Source organism: Homo sapiens, chromosome 4 (genome assembly GCF_000001405.40).
Source record: "Homo sapiens chromosome 4, GRCh38.p14 Primary Assembly".
NCBI lineage: Eukaryota > Metazoa > Chordata > Mammalia > Primates > Hominidae > Homo > Homo sapiens.
The window spans coordinates 153,223,467-153,243,513 of NC_000004.12; the positions used below are offsets into that span (position 1 = coordinate 153,223,467).

Here is a 20,047-nt window from a genome sequence, read left to right on the forward strand (position 1 = left end):
TCCTCTTTTATTCTTTGCCCCAGCTCGTACTACAGTTCGGGCTTATTAGAGCAGGGAGATGGTGACTTTTGAGGGTTTGCAGGGCTCTTTCTGGTTGGTGTATGTATTCTGAAAATACTTGCCCGGTGTTGAAAGCTGCATGCCGCTGACAAAGTAGATAAAAAGCTGGGAGTGTGGAGGACGGTTCGTCTCACTAAATGCCTGTCAGATCCAAAGCATTCTGTGAACCCCAAATTCGTTCCGACCTGTAATCCAACCCCATGGAGCAACTGATGCCTTCCACCAGGCCCCTTTGCTTTCCCGGGAAATCACCAGCTTTAATTTATGGAACAGAGACAGCTTTAGATTCAAAGACTTTTAAAGAGTTAATTTTAGAGCACTTAGAATTCCAGCCATCCAAAGATTAGGCTAGCCCCTTAGGGTGTGAGGGGTTGTTCTTGCAGCAGTATGCACATCTATGCCTTTTTTCATTGTTTTCTTCTAAAAATGGAGATTAAATTTTACATCAATATTTTTAGAATGTAGTTAAGAGTTGTTGCCTGACAACTTGTATTGAGGGTTCCTTTCCCAGGGGGTGGGAGGAGGTATTGTGCTGGGTCCACTGCTTCCCAGCTCCACGTGACCTTTCCTCTCAAATTTCCACTTGATTTCATCTTTGGCAGAACTGGTACCTGCCCTTCAGCTCCAAGAAACAAAAGAGCAGGGGTGAGTCAGAAGGCTTTGACTACCTCACCCTTAACTAGAGATAGAAAGTACTTGATTAAATTCTTTGTGATACACATTGCATTTCCTTCCCTTTCCAACTTAGGTTCATATAACAATGAAGGATCAATTAAAATGAACTCCACCTCCCTTCTCCCTTAGGGTAAATATGGATTCCCTTAGGGCTGAGTTGGGCAGGGCCATCTACACTAATGAAAAGTCTTCTAGGTGAGGTAATCTGGCCTGTTCTGGGCTAGGTACAGAACACCACATCCCATTTGCCCTCATTAACTCATTCTTTTAACTCATTCTTTTCCTGGCAGCCTCCCTTTTCTTTCTATCCTTTTCTGTATAATCCCATTTAGCTACCCACCATAACTCTACTTTGGATCATGGAATCTAGGATACCATCACTGACAAGGTTTGTTTAGATGACTGTCTCTTATCAGTATTCCCTGAGAACATTTTTCCAATTCCTGCCTTTATTTTCCTGGAAAATTCTATGTCGATTAAATCCTCCACTAGAAATTCCATTGTATCTGTCAAAAATAAGCATCACACTCACATCTTGAATATTTTTCTTGCATCATCATTTTAATGCTGACTTGCACAGCTTCCTGATTTCTACTTCAAATTTAAATACAAATGGAAGGAAGTTGTTATAAGACACTAAATATAAATGGGTTAGATAGTCTCAGTGAGAATTAACATCTTATTCTCTGACCTTTTCTTTAGTCTGTCCTTGGGTTGAATTCTATCCTTTCAATTTCTGACCATTGACTACTCTAGAAAGAGGTTGGATAGTTATTTTGTGTGTCAGGAATGATCTGTTTACTTGGCCTTTTCTGAGCAGCAGTTACTCACTACCTCTCCTAGTGCTGATTGGTAAGAATTTGGCCTATTCAATGATGATAACTCAACGGGGTAATATAGCAAGGCCCTAGGAAGCTTTGAAAATGACATCTTGAAGCCCTGAAATCCTGGTGCAATAACATTATCAGAACTTTCTCCTTCTTTCACCACTCCATGAAAAATGACACTGCTTGGTTTATATCAAATATGTCTTAGATTATAAATTCCCAAAGACAGCTTTAGCTTGATTTGTACAGGTACTAAAAGTTTATGCTGGCGGGTCAGCACCTGGCAAATGCTTTTGATGCTGCTACTAATGATGAAGACAGGAACAATGATGGTTTTCCTTTTTGGTTTCTTGAGAAAAGACTTCCTGCTTAGAATGTCTGTTTGAGAGGCTATTCTGTGAATGTTATCTTAAAAGGCTTGAGGCAAAGGCTGGCATAATATCATACTTAGTCCCAACATTATTTCTTATACTTTTACATTTTAGACCTTCAGCCTGACCTGTTAGTTGGCATGTCTGAAAAAGTCCACCTATGAGTTTAATTTAGTATTTTCTCTGGAAGAAAATGACAGGTCTTTTGAAATGGGTAGTATTTGGTTTAAGGGTTAAAAGAATTGGCAAGTGCAACCTTTGAGATAAATAGGTAGAGAGGAAATTAAGGGGAGTGAATTTCATGACCTTGAGCCACTATTTACTAGACACTCAGCTTTTATGTATGGTTAGAGGGTTTACTGGAAATTAAATCTCAGAAAGTGAGCTTTTGTTGGCAAATATTTTGTATTACTAATATAGTTATTTCCTATGTAACGCTATATTATTTTTGCATATCCTGCCTTTGGTTGTTTGTGGTTTTACTTTTTTAATTTTTTTAGAGACTTTGTCACCCAAACTTCAGTGCAGTGGCACAATCATGGTTCACAGCATCTTCCAACTCCTGGGCTCAAGCTATTCTCCCACCTCAGCCTCCCGAGTAGCTGGGACTACAGGCATGTGCCACCACACCCGACTAATTTTTAAATTTTTTGTAGAGACAGTGGCTCACTGTGTTGCCCAAGCTGTCCTTGAGCTCCTGGCCTCAAGCAATCCTCCTGCTTTGGCCTCCCAAAGTGCTGGAATTATAGGCTCGAGCCACTGTGCCTGGCCTATGTCCTGCCTTTGAATCTCATCTTAATCCTTGAACAGAAATATTCTCTCCCTAGAATTTTCAATATTTTCCTTTTTCATAATATACTGTATATGTAGATGAAATTTGTCTATGCAGAAGGGCTGGCCCAAGAGACTAAAATGTGTTCTTGAGTCTAAAATAAATACCATATATGTCAGCATCTTTATTAATTTAAGACTGTTTAGAAGTGCTCAAATAGAAGCTGTGGATACAGGTTTTGCTTCTGTCTTAACTGCAGTAAAACGAACTAACCTAAGACATGCTGACTTCTGGAACAAGGGCAATTTGTAGAAATATGCTGCAGGCAGTTGGAGTTTTGAGAGATGAATACCCTTTTAAACTGACATCTCTTCAGTGTAAGTGTTTTTCAGGTTTCAGAATGTCTGCTGTTTGAGGGACGCCTTTTTTAGTTTAATGCAGTCATTGGTCCAACCTAAAATATTAAGAGAGGCACAGAGTTGCTGACCTACTTATCTCCCATTAGGATGAGGACTAGCGTTTTAGTACTCTCATTGCTGACCTTCGGGGATGATGACTTTGAGGACCAGGAAGCAAACAAATTGGAAAGCCTCTCAGATTAAGACTCCTGAAAAGAGAGATCTAAGACCAAAAATGTGAAAGATTAGAACAAGTTTCCTTTTAGAATGTTCTGCCCAATCAGGTAGAAGAAAGGAAAGATAATTTTCAAGCCCATGCCCCAGTCTGCTAGCCAACAAGGATTTATTGAGCAAATACTATGTTCTGAGCCCCCTGCTTATGATCTGGAAAGTACAATAGCCTAAAAGGCAAAGAACAAGTCTTGAAGGAATTTTCAAGTCCTGGTGGTACCTTTAGGCATTAGTGAGCATCCTTCTCCCTCCTGTTCTCTGAGCTCCTCAAGTCTTTCCTCAGTGAGGAAATCAGCTCTGGCTGTGGTAGAACCCTCTGCAGTGGTTCAGCTACAAACACTTTCTGAGAGAATCAAGTTGGCCCCAACCTAAAATTTGTTTCCTTTGGCAGTGAAAGGTGTGTTGGTAAAAGGCTCTTTCAGCATTACCTGGATGAAGTGGCATTTGCTACTTAACCCCAAGACTCTTGTTCAGTGCACGGTTCTATTCCTAAAATGTCCTCTCCTCAGCTACCAGACAATTCAACAGTGGCCCTGGGTAGCGCCAAAATAACCCATCATAGAAACACTGCTTGAGAGTGAATAGTAGATAGGCTTGAGCTTTGCCTTAATTAAGAGGATGAGATCGGGTCTCTTTAATCGCCAAAATAGCCTCTCAGACTACACAAAGACAGAACTGTCTCTTTTGCTGACTACATGCAATTTATTTAAATTAGTGTTGCACATTCAACGATGGTGTGGAAGCTATATTAGAAAACCACCAAATTGAATGAGTTTTCTAGGTCTTTGGTTAGGGATAAAAAGGGCATTAGCCACATTGAATGGGATTTGCATCTCGTTAGCTTGCCCGTATGTCCTCAGCTATTGGACACAATGGAGGGTGCACGTCTCTCTTTTCAGCTGGGTAGTCTGCTTCAGTTGTGATTCTCCTGGGAATTAAAATTGTGAACTAGAGTCATGGTGGGGGAAGGGGAAGGGCTGGAACTTGTCTGACCACACCCTCCCCCGCTTTTTGTAGTTCAAGATTATAATAGTTTGCCTTAGCAGCAGCAAAATCTATCTCAGTGTTTAGTACTCTCCTCGGTATTGGCTGTGAACAATCTCCTTGCAGATATTGGGCAGCTGGCTCTCCTTATTGTTCAGCATATGTCCAGGGTTCCCTCCAATGCACTGGATTCTGCTTATGGAAGGCAAAATAATTACCATGTTAGTCCAAGAAAGAGATTATAAAAGTGAACCTCTTATGCGAAGTAAACATTTTGGATATCCCCTTATTTAGCGTGACCAGTGAGATGTCACCCACAGAAAGTGGATAAAAGGGTACCCAAATGGGCTGAAGGCCACAGGATCAGCTACTCTCTATCCATAAACACCCTTGTCAACTGTGTGGATGCTTCATCTGACACCCTGTCCTTCCTCTCCTTCCAAGTATGAATCATCCTTGTCACTCCATTTCCTTCACCACCCAAATCCTGGCCCTATACTTAGTACTTCCTGAGACCTCTAGAACAGAAGTACCCATGGGTCCTCAGCCACTTTACCCCATGTGTGGGTCTGATGGCTAAGATGAGCTGTCCTGAATAGCTTTAAAAGTAACTCCAGGGAGAAAAACTAAATGTGGCTCGCTAAAAGATAACACTTAATCTATACAGTTTCGTAGAGGGTATTCTGGATGTTCGGATCTGGGTTGCTGCAGAAAACAAATGGCAATAACTGGGTATCTTTAGCTTCTCAATCTTAGCCAATAACAAAGCCAGCAATCAAAACTCAATTCAACAGTTACAGAATATGGTCTCCAGACTCCTGCCACCATTAAACAGAATTCTTTCTTACAATGCTGCTTTCCATCTTATAAAAACAATGCTTTGTCCATCTGTTGTGGCACACACGCTGTACAGCAAATGAGCCTTCAATGATAAATGTTCTCTTTTGCCCCAGGTCACGCGGCAGTCATAGTCATGTACAATCAAGTGACCATTTATTTAGAGGAAGGATGAGCAGAGGCTAACTGCAGTCTTTTTGCTGTTTTTCCCTATTTTCTGCCTTCAAGTAGCAATTAGCCTTTGAGTATCCTTCATCCTTTTCCCCCCACAAATGGTGTCTCAATCTAGTAACCTCACGTATAAAGCAACCGATGACTGAAGGCTAAAATCCACTCAGAGACCACAAACCACCCACTAAAACAACAGGAAAAGATCTGGGAGCCTGGAAAGGGAAGAGGTGGGAGTGAGGGTACGTGGGGCCCTGTGCAAAGTGCTGGTTTTTCTTGTGACATTTACTCTAAAGTCTCTGCTTAAGCTACAGACCTTGGAGAAGAAAGTATATTTTACTCATTTTTAACACAATTTCATTAAAGGACAAAGAAATTCGATTTCTTAGGGATTTCCTCTATAAGCATTTTTCTTGTAGTCCACATATATTGTTTCACTTAAACAAATATTCTGAATTTTTTTGTTTCGTTTTGACTTGTTTTGTTTTGTTTGAGACAGAGTCTCACACTGTCACTCAGGCTGGAGTGCAGTGGTGCGATCTCTGCTCACTGCAACCTCCGCCTCCCGGGTTTAAACAATTATCCTGCCTCAGCCTCCCAAGTAGCTGGGACTACAGGTCCCATGCCTGGTTAATTTTTGTATTTTTTGGTAGAGACAGGGTTTTGCCGTGTTGCCCAGGCTCGTCTCAAATTCCTGACCTCAGGTGATCCACCTGCCTCGGCCTCCCAAAGTGCTGGGATTACAGGCATGAGCCATCGCACCTGGCCAGATTCTGAATTTTTAAACAGTATCTACTAGAAATCAAATTCATTTTTCTTGTTAAAAAGCCTTTAAACATCAAGAAGGGGAAATAATTATTAAGCATTTGCTTGGAACAGTTGAAGTAGTTTCTGTAATAGAAGGAAGACAGATTTGCCAGGGTATGAAATTCTGAATCCCATCTGCACGGAAGCTGGTTTTCATTTGTAATGCAGTACAAAATATTCTTGGCATCTTTGGTGCTTATTGCACACAGTATACTCCATGCTAAAACTAAATCTCGATAGAACTAAATACATTTCTTTCGTTAGATTTTTTTTCTAAGCATTTTCTCTCGTTCAAGTCCCTTGGATAAATGCATTCACCAAGTACTGCCAGGTCTTTCTACCTCTGCAGAGTTTAGTCTTCAATCTTCCTTATTCAGCCAGTTCATTCAGCTACTATCTATTGATGGGGGCCGAGGGGGACAGGAGTTCACAGGCTAACCTGAGAGAAGAAGGCAAGGCACATACACCCCTGCCCGTGTCCTAGATCTGTCTTTCAGTCTCTAGGGGCCTAGGCCCTGGCTTTCTGAATTTTACACATGATGACTGCTACGGTACTTACAGCCTCAATACGTTTGCCATCCACACTATTTTTTTTTTTTTAAGAGACAAGGTCTTGCTCTGCTGCCCAGGCTGGAGTACAGTGGCTTGATCATGGCTCACTGCAGCCTTTGCCTCCAGGGCTCAAGCGATCCTCCCATCTCAGCCTCCTGAGTAGCTGGAACTGCAGGTGCATGCCACCATGACTGGCTACTTTTTGTATATTTTTTGCAGGACAGGGTTTTGACATGCTGTCCAGGCTGGTCTCCAACTCTTGGGCTCAAGCGATCTGCCTGCCTCCACCTCCCCAAAGTGCTGGTATTACAGGCATGAGCCACTGCACCCAGCCCATGTTCAGTCTCAAAACCAGTAGAATTCAGTTACAAAAACAAAAAACACACCAAACAAACACTTGTCTCAGGCATAACATATTACCTTGTTGATTTATTGTACCACAGCTGGAAATATGGGGACTGTCAGTTTCTCCTGAGAATCTGGGATACTGCATGCCTTAAGGGAGATTGAGGTGACAGTATGCTATCTGTCTTTTATTTATGAAGATAACCCTGTTGACCCACCAGGATATGCTTTGTAGTTTTCTCCATCCATCCTATCAATTTTTATTAGTTATGAAATTTACTGGCCCCTGTGGCACAAATCTAGAAGAACCAGCTCACTTGGTTCAAGCCTATAATTTCATCAACATAGCAGGTAACTAGCTGAGCTCACTTGGAACTGAGATCATAATAATGATTTAACCTCTCATTTGAGCAAGGCTTTACTGTTTAAAAATCACTTTCACAGAAATAATTCCATCTTATCTTGACAATGTCCCTGAGAGGTAACATCTTAGAAGCGAGGAAACTAAGTTTCCAAGAAGTCAAGTGACTTTTCCAGTAAAGGGGGAGTCAGGACTCACACCTAGGATGTCTTTCTCACTAAAATACACGCTCAAGTATACTTGATTGGTTGACATATGATAAATGGATACAAGAATTGTGGGAAGCTCTAGAAGAAAGGATGTTTTGTTGAGAAAACAAATCTAGGAAAGTGTCTGGAAAAGTGGTTTTCAATAGAGATTGTTTACTTTAAATTTAACTCTAGACCCAAGAATATCACATAGGAAACCATTAGGGAGTCATGTGAACAAGACAATCAAGTGTCAACTCATATGATACAGACATTAAGTACAATGATGGTTCAGAAAAGAGAGAGAACACAATAAGGTAATAAATCAAGGATAATATAATTGAGGAAGAGGGACTAAAGTTAGAACTTAAAGAATGTGCAAGATTTAGATGGAAGAGGGAAGTGGGAAGGGCACAATGGGCATTGGGAACAACCCAAGCAAAGGTGGAGAGTCATTTTCCAGACAGGGATTAGGAGCCAGACACATCTGATGGGAGGAGGGACTGAGCAGGTCTAGGCAAGGAAGTCGTGGGCATTGAGGTGAAATAAGGAGGTGGAATCAAAGAGGATCTTCAGTGCCTATTGGAGAAATACAGACTTGATGCTTAGGTGCTCTAAAGGGTGGCGGCATGAGGGAGAATCTGCTCCATGCCTCTGTCCTAGCATCCGGCTGTCCCACGCTTCCCTTGGCTTATAAATAGTGTTCTGTGTCTTCACATAATCGTCCCTCCATGCCTGTCTCTGTGTCCAAATTCCCCCTTTTTGTAAGGACATCAGTCATATTGGATTAGGGCCCACTCTAATGACTTCATTTTAACTTGATTACCTCCCTAAAGACCTACACTGTACAGGTTGAGCATCCCAAATCCAAAAATCTGAAATGCTCCAAGTCCAAAACATTTTGGGTGCTGACATGATGCTCAAAGGAAATGCTCATTGGAGCATTTCGGATTTCAGTCTTTTGGATTGCGGATGCTCAACCAGTCAGTATCTGCACATATTCCAAAATATGAAAAAAAACCAAAATCCAAAAATACTTCCGGCCCCAAGCATTAGGATAAAAGATACTCAACTTGTAGTATTTCCAAATACAGTCACAATCTGAGGTACTGGGAGACATCAATATATCTTTTTGGAGGGAGGGGGACACAATTCAACTCTAACAGCCACCTTTAAAGAGTCATGAGTAGCCAGGCGAGGTGGCTGACGCCTGTAATCCCAGCACTTTGGGAGGCCGAGGCAGGCAGATGGATCGAGACCAGCCTGGCCAACATGGTGAAACCCCGTCTCTACTAAAAATACAAAAATTAGCTGGTCGTGGTGGCGCACGCCTGTAGTCCCAGCTACTTGGCAGGCTGAGGCAGAAGAATCGTTTGAACCTGGGAGGCAGAGGTTGCAGTGAGCCAAGATCATGCCACTGCGCTCCAGCCTGGTGACAGAGTGAGGCTGCATCTCAAAACAATAAATAAATAATAAATTTTCAAAAATAAAAAAAATTGAGTCGTGACCAGCACAGTGAGAGGCAAAGAGGTGTTTTAGTGAGAGTGGACTGACCCCAGCATGCAGAATATGCTGGAAGGAAGGGAGGGAACTAGAGGCCATAGGTTGGGGCGGGGGTGGAGAAAAGTAGATAAAATCAAGACACATTTCAAAGGAAGAGTTGAAAAGATTTAAGTAGTAGCAATGGTAATGTGTCGTTAAGTCTAGAACATAACAGTTTACAGAACATTCCCATGTCTCCTTTCTCCTTTGTACCTGACTTAGGGGCTGAGTGGTGTCTTCAGGGTTTCTGGCCCTGGGAGAGAAGCTCCAGTGATAAGGTCAGCCACTCCAGTGAGAGTGGCTAGCAAAGGCAGCAGGGGGAGACTCAGAGCTGCAGGTGCTGAATTGGAGGTGGTGACAGAGCCGGGTGGAGCTGTCCCCTGGGCCACTGGAAACCTAAGCCAGCTGCCCCCTCTCTAGACATAGATTTGGAAGTCAAATGCATTCCAGCAGTCATCTAATCACAAGAGTGGGTGCGGCCTCTGAGTGAGTGAATGTAGGAGAAGAGCAGTGGCTTGATGTTTTGGCAAATTCCCGGAGTTAGAAGATTGCTAAGAATAAGGATAAGAAGCATTTAAAGTAGAGGAGAAATGGTAAAGTTCTCTACTTCCAAAGCCAAAGAAAAAGAGTTTCCAGTAGAAGGTGGGAGGAGAAGAGGGACGACTGGGAGAAGACTTTGGTTTAGCTAAAATGAGGACATGGGGAAAAGAAAGTGCCAAAGAAAGGAAGGAAGGAAGTCAGATGATAATTACAGGGTGGCAGGATTTAGAAAATGGTGTGGGGGGTTTTTATTGGAAAGTTGTGGGGTTTTCTTTTTGAGATATTGATTACTTTACTTACAGTCAAATTCACCTTTTCTGATGTTCAATTCTGTGAATTTTGACAAATGAATATAGTTCTGTAACCATGACTACTGTTGAGATAGGACCAATTATATCACCCCCAAAATTCTTTGTTGCTGAGGTGCTTTTTTGTTTTTTTAGAGGAAACCAATGTGTATTTGAAGTCAGAAAGGAAGAAACCCATGGGAAAGGAGGAGATGATGGTGTTAAAGAGGAAAGGGTTGAAGGAGTGAGGCGTGGAGGTGGTAGGGAGGCAGGTGGGCCACTGAGAATGCTTCAATTTTGGTGGGAAGGAACATTTCCTCTCTTCCTATGAAGTAGAAGGAAGGATGGATGCATACATTCAGGGTCTATGATATCTTTTTATGGTTAATTCCAAAACTCCTGCCAGCAAAACCATTTCCTGCTGAGAGAGATGTTAAATGTTGCATTGCATAATTTCTGCCACGGAGGTATGATTTCCTGTTGCAATCACTGTTTGCAGGAATTACATGCAAGGGGAGTACAGGCACCGGGCTGCTTTGCTTTGGGATATGTGCCCAAATCCTGCTCTAATGTAATACCATAGCAATTTTAGAACTAACAACTTTAAAATTCTTCAAAGTTAAGTGCATCTGCATCTTTTCCTGCACCATACAGTGAGAAAGCTTGGCAGCAATAATGGCTTCAATCCCCATAAATACTCCTGACAGGTGTAAATGAGTCACTGCGGAAGAGCTAGCTTCCACAGACATGTCCTTGGGGCATTATTTGGCAGAAGAGATTGAATTCTCATCATTTTATGCTCAAGACTCACAACCACTCAGAAGTGCAGTTTTCTCCTTGACATCTATGATGTTGCTTGCATCTCCCTTTATCCTTGCAGTCACACTGTGATTCAGGGGTGGGAGGAAAGAAGGTGTTGGATAGCGATTCTCAAACTGTGGGCTTCATGAGCGGGTTGTGAATCAAGTTAGTGAGTTGCAGCCAGTTTACTGAAAAATGAAATAGAATAGGAAATAGCAGAGGGCATCGGGCTAAATGTGATCTCATGCAACCTTTGTTTCAGTGAAATATATGTATCTATTACTGGACTGCAACATAAAATACATTTCTGCTGCGGATCTCAGTCACAAAAGTTTGGAAACTGAATGTAGAAGTATGCAGATCCTTTATGACCCTAGGCAGGCTACTGAATGTCCTTGTGGCTTAGAGTCATTGTCTGTAAAATGAGGCTCATAAGTTACCTACTCTGTATGGCTGTTGAGAGTGTTAAACAGAAAATGCATAGGTAGCATTAGGTGCTGTGCCTGGTTAACAGTCAATGCTTGTGATGATGATTTGTTTTCCTGCCTAGATCTATAGGTCAAATTTTTATTCAATGCCCAGACCTTTCTTCTGAGCCTAGAACTATAACTCAGCAGCTATTTGACATCTCCAGGCAGTTGTTCTACATGCATCTCCAACTCAGCATGTCCAAAGTGGAACTCAATTAATTGCCACTTTCTCTCTCCAATTCTTAACCTTCCCCGTGCCCTGTCCCACCCTCGAGCACACAGACCCCTCTGCTGCCCCCAGCTGTGTACTTCATATGTGGTGCTTCCAAACTGCTTCTAGTTGGTCTTCCTCCACTAACACACATATGTCTTCAGGTTTCCTCTGCCTTGAATGCTTGTTCCACTTTTTTGTTGTATGACTCACTCTTTCCCATCCTTCAGGGCTTAATACAAATTGGTTTTCCAGTCAGAAAGATGTAGGCTTGAAGTCACTAATCATTGGTGACAGCTGTGTGACTCTGAGAAGCAAATTTCTGAAGCACTCAAAGTCAGTTTGTTCCTCTGTAAAATGGGAAAAGCTGTGCCTGCTTCATAGAGTTAAGATAATTTTTTTTTTTTTTGAGACAAGGTCTTGCTCTGTTGCCCAGGTTGGAGTGCAGTGGCATGATCACGGCTCACTACAGCCTTGACCTCCCGAGCTCAAGGAATTCTCCTGCCTCAGCCTCCCAAGTAGCTGGGACTACAGGCAGGCACAACCATGCCTGCCTAATTTTTTGTATTTTTCATAGAGATGAGGTTTCACCATGTTGCCCAGGCTGGTCTCGAACTCCTCAACTTAAGTGATCCACCTGCCTCAGCCTCCCAAAGTGCTGGGATTACAGGTGTGAGCCATGGTGCCCCGCCAAGTTAAGAGAATTAAATGAATTCTTGTGTGTATAGAATAGTACCCAGCACATACAGAGTAGTTAATAAATGGCTGTGATTCTTTTTCATTTTTAAAGAAGGCTCAATTCACCTCTTTCTAGAGCTTCTTACAGACCTGAATGTGTCAGGTTGTTGAAGAGCTTTGCAGTTTTGCACCAGCTATTCCTTCTGATCAGATTACCTTTTCCACACTTCTTCCTTTGACCAAGCCCTACTCCTCCCTCAAGGCTCAACCCAAGTGTCACCTCCTCCGGGACCCTGCCAACATCCTGTGCTCACCTCCATCAGAATTCTTGACCACCTAAACTATGATTACCTTCTTTCCCCCTAGATTCTAAGTCTCCTGAGGGCTCCATGTGACATGTGTCGTGGGAGGGATCCGGTGGGGATCAAATCATGGGGGCAGTTTCCCCCATGCTGTACTCATGATTGTGAGAGAGTTCTCTTGAGATCTGATGGTTTTATAAGCATCTCGCATTTCTCCTGCTTGCACTCATTCTCCCTCCTGCCACCCTGTGAAGAGGTGCCTTCTGCCATGATTGTAAGTTTACTGAGGCCTTCCCAGTCCTGCAGAACTGTGAGTCAATTAAACCTTTTTTTTCTTTATAAATTACCCAGTGTCGGGTATTTCTTCATAGCAGCATGGGAATGCATGGATACAGTTAAGGCCATCCCCAACATGGCTTCTATTGCATGTTCTAGCCTTTTCTTCTACTTATCCTCACCTTGTACCTCATACCATGGAAAACTAGGCTCCTTACTCCCTCACTGTGCCCCATACCTCATTTCCTTGTATGCCTATTCATGCTGGCTCTTTCTGTTTAGCCCCACAAACCCACTAAAGCCCTCTCAAATGCTACCACATGACAATTCTAGAACCTTTAGTGATCTACTTTTTTTAAACAAACAGTAGTAGTTGTCCTCAATTCTGCTTTGCATCCCACAGCAACCCACTATGGACTTTTCTTGTGGAGAAGATTGTCCTTTATACAGCAGTTTCTTTACATACTTGTTTTTTTATGGCAAGTTGTTTGAGTCTGAGGATTGTGTCTTTTTCTTTTCTTTTCTTTTCTTTTCTTTTTCCTTTCTTTTCTTTTCTCTTGAGACAGGGTCTCACTCTTGTCACCTTGGCTGGAGTGCAGTGGTACAATCACAGCTCACTGCAGCCTCGACCTCCTGGGTTCAAGAGATCCTCCCAACTCAGCCTCCTCAGTAGCTGGGACTATAGGTGTGTACCACCATACCTGGCTAATTTTTAAATTTTTGGTAGAGATGGGGGTCTCACTATGTTGCCTAGGCCTGGTCTCAAACTCCTAGGCTTAAGCAATCCTCCTGCCTGGGCCTCCCAAAGTGCTCATGTAATATGCATGAGCCACCTCGCACAGCCAGAGGATTATGTCTTAAACATCTTTGTAAACTTACAGTATCAAGGACATTACATTGCTTGTCTTTTCTCATAAGTGTTTGAGGAAACAAATAGAATTGAAAATCAGCTAGATTTGGTTGTGCTTTCTGCTTGCTAATTTAACTTTTGGGGGTTGGGGTGTGGGAAATTAAGGTTTAACTTGTCTTTTGACTCTTAAATATATTTCTTCTACATGCAATTGGAGCTGGAGTTGCTACATTTAGCAATTAGGCATGTAAACATTAGTACCATATTATAACCACATTGTTGTAGGCATTTTTGATTAATTGATTATTAATATTAATTTTAGTACTAATATACCTTTAATGCTATTGTTTATGGCTCTTAGTTACTTAGGAGTGTGCATACTAATAAAAAGAGTCAAGAGGCCAGGAGCAGTGGCTCATGCCTATAATCCCAGCACTTTGGGAGGCTGAGGTGGGCGGATCACGAGGTCAGGAGTTTGAGACCAGCCTGACCAACATAGTGAAACCCTGTCTCTACTGAAAATACAAAAAATTAGCCGAGGGTGGTGGCAGGCACCTGTAATCCCAACTACTCAGGAGGCTGAGGCAGGAGAATCACTTGAACTCAGGAGGCGGAAGTTGCAGTGAGCTGAGATTGCGCCATTGCATTTCAGCCCAGGCGACAGTGCGAGACTCCGACTCAAAAAAAAAAGAGTCAAAATATATGAAATGTGAAAATGTAAATACATAAACACATTTATGAGTGGTAGTTGTATACATACATACTTTCTACTTTATCAAAGTCAGGACATCTATGAATGGTTATACAAATGGTTATACAAATATTATACAAATATTACAACTTAATTGTATCTTTTTTTCAAAAAAACAGAAGATCCATTGGTAGTATGCTCTCCAGCTCCCTCCCTCTGTGACTTACACCTTCGCTAGTCATTTGAAAGCTTCTGTGGGAGTGTGTGGTAAGTGACCTGCCATTGTGGGGAGTGGAAGTGGCATGACCTCAGGAGCCAGTTCTGAGTCCAGGTGAACCAAAGCTCAGTTTCTTTCATCTTTGAACCTGAACCTCTTACCTCCAAGAAAAAGGGCCCAGGAATTTGGGCCTTCTTGTTTATTTGTCCTTCTGCCCCTCTCCCTATCTAACCCCTGGGTAAGGGTGAGCTTGAAGGTGATGGTGACAGTGGCTTCTGTGTGTGTCAGTCCACCCTCCAAGCAATGCTTAGAAACCAGTCCATAAGCCAATTAACACATCATTTTTAGGGCAGATTTGCAAGTTCTCAGTTGTTTACATGTTTCGTTAAGTACTAACCTCCAAATTAATAAAGCATGACACATGACATCACACATTTCACAATTTGTACCCAAGCAAAGTTCATGGAGGTAAAGGTAATGAATTAGCGGTTGTGAAAAATCACACATTCCTTTACTGGAGACAGGAGAGACATGTAGAATATATTGGCAATGACCAAAAATTGACTTCTAAGTACTTTTGAGATTGGCCCTGGGAAGCATCGTATGAATCTCTGGCAAGGGAAGAAAGGACTGGACTCCAGGGAGAGGAAAAGCATGTATAAAGGTATAACGGTTTAAGAAAAAGAGAGAACTGGAATAACCCAGGATTCTCTGGAGGCATAGAATGAGTGCATTTTAAGTCTTTTAAAGAAGACTTGTTGTAAGGCAACAAGCCTGGAGCCAAGAAATGTAGCAATTCCAGCTCCAGTCGCATGCACTAGACCTGCTGTGCTTAAATGTCCTGTGATTGGGTCATGGAATTGCAGCATGTCCAGCACTTGAAGAGGTTTGGATGCTTTAAGTCACTGCAAGAGGCCAGGAGATGGGGTCACAGAGACAGAAGAGACAGACTGTCTTGTACAGAAACCTAAGGGCTCTCTATTATGGACTGAATGTTCATGAATCCCCCCAAAATCATATGTTGAAGGCTTAACCCCACTGTGACGGTATTTGGAGACGGAGCCTTTGGAAGGTGATTAGGGTTAGATAAGATCATGAGAGGTGGCTGAGGCCTTGTTGACAGGATTAGTGCTCAGTCTCCTTAGTTAGAAAATAACTCTGGCGGCCGGGCGTGGTGGCTCACGCCTGTAATCCCAGCACTTTGGGAGGCCGAGGTGGGTGGATCACGAGGTCAGATGATCGAGACCATCCTGGCTAACACAGCGAAACCCCATCTCTACTAAAAATACAAAAAATTAGCCAGGCGTCGTGGCGGGCACCTGTAGTCCCAGCTACTCGGGAGGCTGAGGCAGGAGAATGGCGTGAACGCGGGAGGCAGAGCTTGCAGTGAGCCGAGATCGTGCCACTGCACTCCAGCCTAGGAGACACAGCGTGACTCCGTCTCAAAAAAAAAAAAAAAAGAACTCTGGCTTTGATAGAATTGTTTTGGAGATTTTATCATAAAGATAGTGCTCTCTCTCTCTCTCTCTCTCTCTGCCTTTCTGTTATTTTCTTTCTATTCCTTTCTAACTAAGAGAGAAAGTTATCCTCTATTTGTAAGTGTTAAAGAATGCAATCACCATGATACTGCTTCACATCCCCTTTAGTGTAAAAGTGCCTTGTGTCTAGTAAGCAGTTGCATCATCATTGCATGAAAGTGGAATAAATGAATGAATACATGAATGTTAGAAGTAAGTGGCCTGCACCAGGTTTTCTTCTCGTTCTGTCTTCTTCTCTCTTGCCTTTCTTGTTCTCCTTTCTCTTCAACACATAACATCTTTTATTAGGTATATACATGTCTCCTTTGTTCGTCTTTGCCTTAATAAGAAACAACATTTTCGAGCAATATGAAATGTCTATGCATGACAGCATCCTAACTTTCTTTCTCTTTTTTTTTTTTTTTTTTGTAAGATGGAGTCTCGCTCTGTCACCCAGGCTGGAGTGCAGTGGCGTTATCTGCAACCTCCGCCTCCTGGGAGGCAGGCTCAAGCAATTCTCCTGTCTCAGCCTCCCGAGTAGTTGGGACTGCATCCACGCGCCACACGCCCAGCTAATTTTTCTATTTTTAGTAGAGAGAGGGTTTCACCATGTTGCCCAGGCTGGTCTCGTACTCCTGGGCTCAAACAATCCACCCGTCTCAGCCTCCCAAAATGCTGGGATTACAGGCATAAGCCACCACGCCTGGCCAGCATCCTAACTTTCTGCAGCAGTAAGTAGGATCCCTAATAAAGGCTGAATATCATACTCATACCCACAATTCCTTACTTGGTTTAAATACAAAAGATTATCGCTGCCAAACTGTGCATAAGAATTGGTAGACTATGTTTGAAAATGTTTTCCTTTAATAATATTGCAAATACCTGAAGCCAGGCAATAAAAGTAAGACACAATATCTTATTTGGTAGTGTTTTCTTTTCAATATTGTTTTCAGACTCCCAGTTGGAAGGAAGAGGTTTTGTATCACAGTTTATACTACATATTTGCATAAACAGTAAATATTTTTCTCCTACTTAAAACAAAAATCAAATAATGTTTAGTAATTAGACTACCTTCAGCCACTGTGAAAGGACTTAGTTTAGGGTAAATGGTGTCTTTTCCTACACTGCTTCTATTATCAGTAGAAGGTTACTACCTACGCTTCTAGGGCTCTCCAGATTTTAACAGCTCATGAATTCAGAATACATGAAAAAGCAAGAGTTAACTACAGAATATTTAAACAGTTGTTTTAATTTTATTACTTCCAGTATTTGCATGTATCCAATAACCATATAACCATGTAAATATATTATAAAGCATACCTCAATGACTGGAGGAGAATATTTTCAGTAAGTATATTAAAATCGTTTCCCTGGCCGGGCGTGGTGGCTCACGCCTGTAATCCCAGCACTTTGGGAGGCCGAAGCAGGCGGATCACAAGGTCTGGAGTTTGAGACCAGCCTGATCAACATGGTGAAACCTTGTCTCTACTAAAAATACAAAAATTAGCTGGGCGTGGTGACGCACAGCTGTAATCCCAGCTACTCCGGAGGCTGAGGCAGGAGAATCGCTTGAACCTGGGAGGCGGAGGTTGCAGTGAGCCGAGATTGCGCCACTGCACTCCAGCCTGAGTGACAGAGCGAGACTCCCTCTCAGAAAAACAAACAAACAAAAAAACCTTTTCCTGTAGAGTATGTGTCACTCTTAAGTAGGTTAAGATGATCTTGCTTACACCTAACAGATCCCTTCTACAAGAGCTCAAAGGGATCTTTAGCAGATGTCCGATCATAACAAGTAGTTCTGAGGTGTCTCACAGGAGTACCTGGTCTAGGAGGCTGTGTTCTCCAGAGCAGCGTTGATCACACAGCTCTGGCTAATGTCTAGGCAGGCTGGACACCCAGTCCTTCCTCATCGCACATTGTTGGAAGCCATGTGCCAAGACTGCATTTGTGCTGCACCATCGTTGGGGGATGGTCCTGCCCCCTCCCCGATGGAGGTCACAGGTTTGTGGGCGAGACACCTCTAACTAAACAAACAAATATTCCTTTACGAACTGTGACAACTGCCATGAAGGATTCAAAGGGGGCAGAGTGATACATAACAAAGGGGCACACCCACTTAAGTCAGGAGGGTTAGGAAGGCCTCAGAGAGGAGGCAGCATTTGAGCATGTGAGCAGAGAACCCAGGAGCAGAGAACCCAGGGAGCAGGAGCAACAGCAGGGCTAGGAGGAGCGGGAACCTTGCATTAAGAGCGCCTCGTTGCTCATGAAGATCCATTCATTTAGCCATGAACTAAAACAAGGCGGCCTCCTTTTCTGAACTTATCTCAGAATTTCGACCTGAGGAAACGGGTGCACAGATTCTTGAAAAGCCAGAAACAGTACAGAGAGAACGGAGGAGAGGCCACACGTATGCCGGATAAAGGTCCCAGGATGCTGCTAGGAGAGCACTGGCCATTAGAGTAAACAGAAAAATAGAAATGAAACCTGTTTTTATAATGAATAACTTTTATAGTCTAAGTTTAAATGAAGATTGGGTTTTCCCATTTCTGGGGGCAAACAAACATGTGTTAATAGCTAATTAAAAATAGAATGGGAATTCTACTGAGGCCCATTATGGAACAGGGGGCAGGCAAGGTGCTGGAACATGCTGGCCATCTGATGCCAACCACGTGGGTCCTTTGAATAAATCTGTGTGCTTTTATCACTTCACCCTGCTCACCAATTTGACCGGATTAAAAGGCTTCATAACAGTCTGCACAACTGCTAATGATGTAACTCCGCTCTTACATGTTTATTTTAGTGTTGGATTTTTATTGTTAAGGTCACTCCGAGGATATGCGGATTCTTAACTACACAAAGTTGGTACTTAGCCTTGGTCTATTTTGTCTTGTATCTTTTTTTTTTTTCTTTCCTATTCCCAGGAGTCTGCCTTCTCTGTGAATCCCCCTCTAACAGGATGTCGTGGTTTATTTATTCCCTGCCCTTTGCCATGTGGATGGGCGGATTTTTAACCTTTTAGTACCATAATCCTTTGTGGTAGGTTCCTGTTTCTCTGCTATCTTGGGAACTCCTGCTGTTCGACCTTGGTGTTTGCATATTTATAAACTCTTAACCATTAACTCTTCAAGCAGACCAGCTGCAGCATGAGAGCTATTTGCTATTCCTCAGCATCGTTTTCTAGTCTCACTTAGCAAGACCTTTGCTTGTTGTATTCCCATTTGTGTCTGTTGTGGAACAGGCTCGACAGAACTACTGAAATTGTAAAGAAACTCAGGCAGCCTGCACAGACCTCCAGCTCCCTGGGTCTGCCTGTAAAGAGAGGACGCTGGGGCAGATGGAGAGCAGCAGGCACTCGGAGTTAGGCCTGAGATCTGCGAATGGCTTTGCCACTTGCAGGTTGTAAGGCATGGTGGGGGCTGGGATCAAATCACCTCCCCAGCTCTCTGTTTCTTTGTCTATACAATGGTGATCAAACTGGATATCTCCACTGAGCACCAGGTGTCCTGAAGAGATGGGCGGGGGTGGAGGCAGCATGAGTGGGAGGTGAGCATGTTGGCAGGGGCCCCAGGGCCCGGGCAGCTCTCTAGAGAAAGGATTTCATGGCTTTAAAACCACAGGACTCTGTCACCTCCAAGGTCCTTTCCAACTTCAAACACACCTCTGATTCTATGAAAGGATGACAGTCTTCTGCCTTCCTGCTTCATTACTGGTGGAGAGGCCCTGCCAAGGCAAGGAGGGAAGTGGACTAGGAGGTAGGCCTGAGGCTAGGGTGGAGCCCCCAAGCTTCCTATCAGTACCGCCAAACTGAACTGAAGCCCCCCACACAATTGGAAAGTGATAGAGAAGGTGATGGAGTTTATGCCCTTGATTCAGGTTGTTGGGTTTAAAACTGAAGATCCACATGAAGGGGTGACTCTTTTCGTTGAGAGAGTACCAGTGCTGTGCCATGTGGCAGGGCAAAGACGAAGAGCAGTGCCAGGTTCCTTGACTGTGGGCTTTGCTTCTTCATGGCTAGGGATGGGGAGCACTGGATGCAGTTACATCCTTGCTAGATCCCAGATCCTCACTTTTTGCTTTTGACAGAAGTCT

The 20,047-nt window shown here is 43.1% G+C and overlaps 1 protein-coding gene across 31 annotated transcripts in view, besides 3 other annotated features; it reads left to right on the forward strand.

Annotated features, from left to right (window-relative positions):
- Positions 1 to 20,047, forward strand: part of TRIM2 (tripartite motif containing 2) — a 187,155-nt gene that overhangs the window by 71,304 nt on the left and 95,804 nt on the right. The window contains exon 2 of one of the 31 annotated variants that reach the window (NM_001375516.1): positions 14,404 to 14,491. The exons of the other annotated variants lie outside the window; for them this stretch is intronic. The gene's annotated coding sequence lies outside the window, so the exon portion shown is untranslated. The remainder of the gene's footprint in view (positions 1 to 14,403; positions 14,492 to 20,047) is intronic. 31 annotated transcript variants of the gene reach the window in all.
- Positions 15,321 to 15,822: an enhancer, noted in NCBI's record as "H3K4me1 hESC enhancer chr4:154159939-154160440 (GRCh37/hg19 assembly coordinates)". NCBI's record gives its function as "activates a minimal SCP1, AML or CMV promoter by ChIP-STARR-seq in primed H9 embryonic stem cells {active_cell/tissue: H9 hESC(primed)}" and the evidence as "EXISTENCE:reporter gene assay evidence [ECO:0000049][PMID:30033119]".
- Positions 15,823 to 16,322: an enhancer, noted in NCBI's record as "H3K4me1 hESC enhancer chr4:154160441-154160940 (GRCh37/hg19 assembly coordinates)". NCBI's record gives its function as "activates a minimal SCP1, AML or CMV promoter by ChIP-STARR-seq in primed H9 embryonic stem cells {active_cell/tissue: H9 hESC(primed)}" and the evidence as "EXISTENCE:reporter gene assay evidence [ECO:0000049][PMID:30033119]".
- Positions 17,600 to 18,100: an enhancer, noted in NCBI's record as "H3K4me1 hESC enhancer chr4:154162218-154162718 (GRCh37/hg19 assembly coordinates)". NCBI's record gives its function as "activates a minimal SCP1, AML or CMV promoter by ChIP-STARR-seq in naive H9 embryonic stem cells {active_cell/tissue: H9 hESC(naive)}" and the evidence as "EXISTENCE:reporter gene assay evidence [ECO:0000049][PMID:30033119]".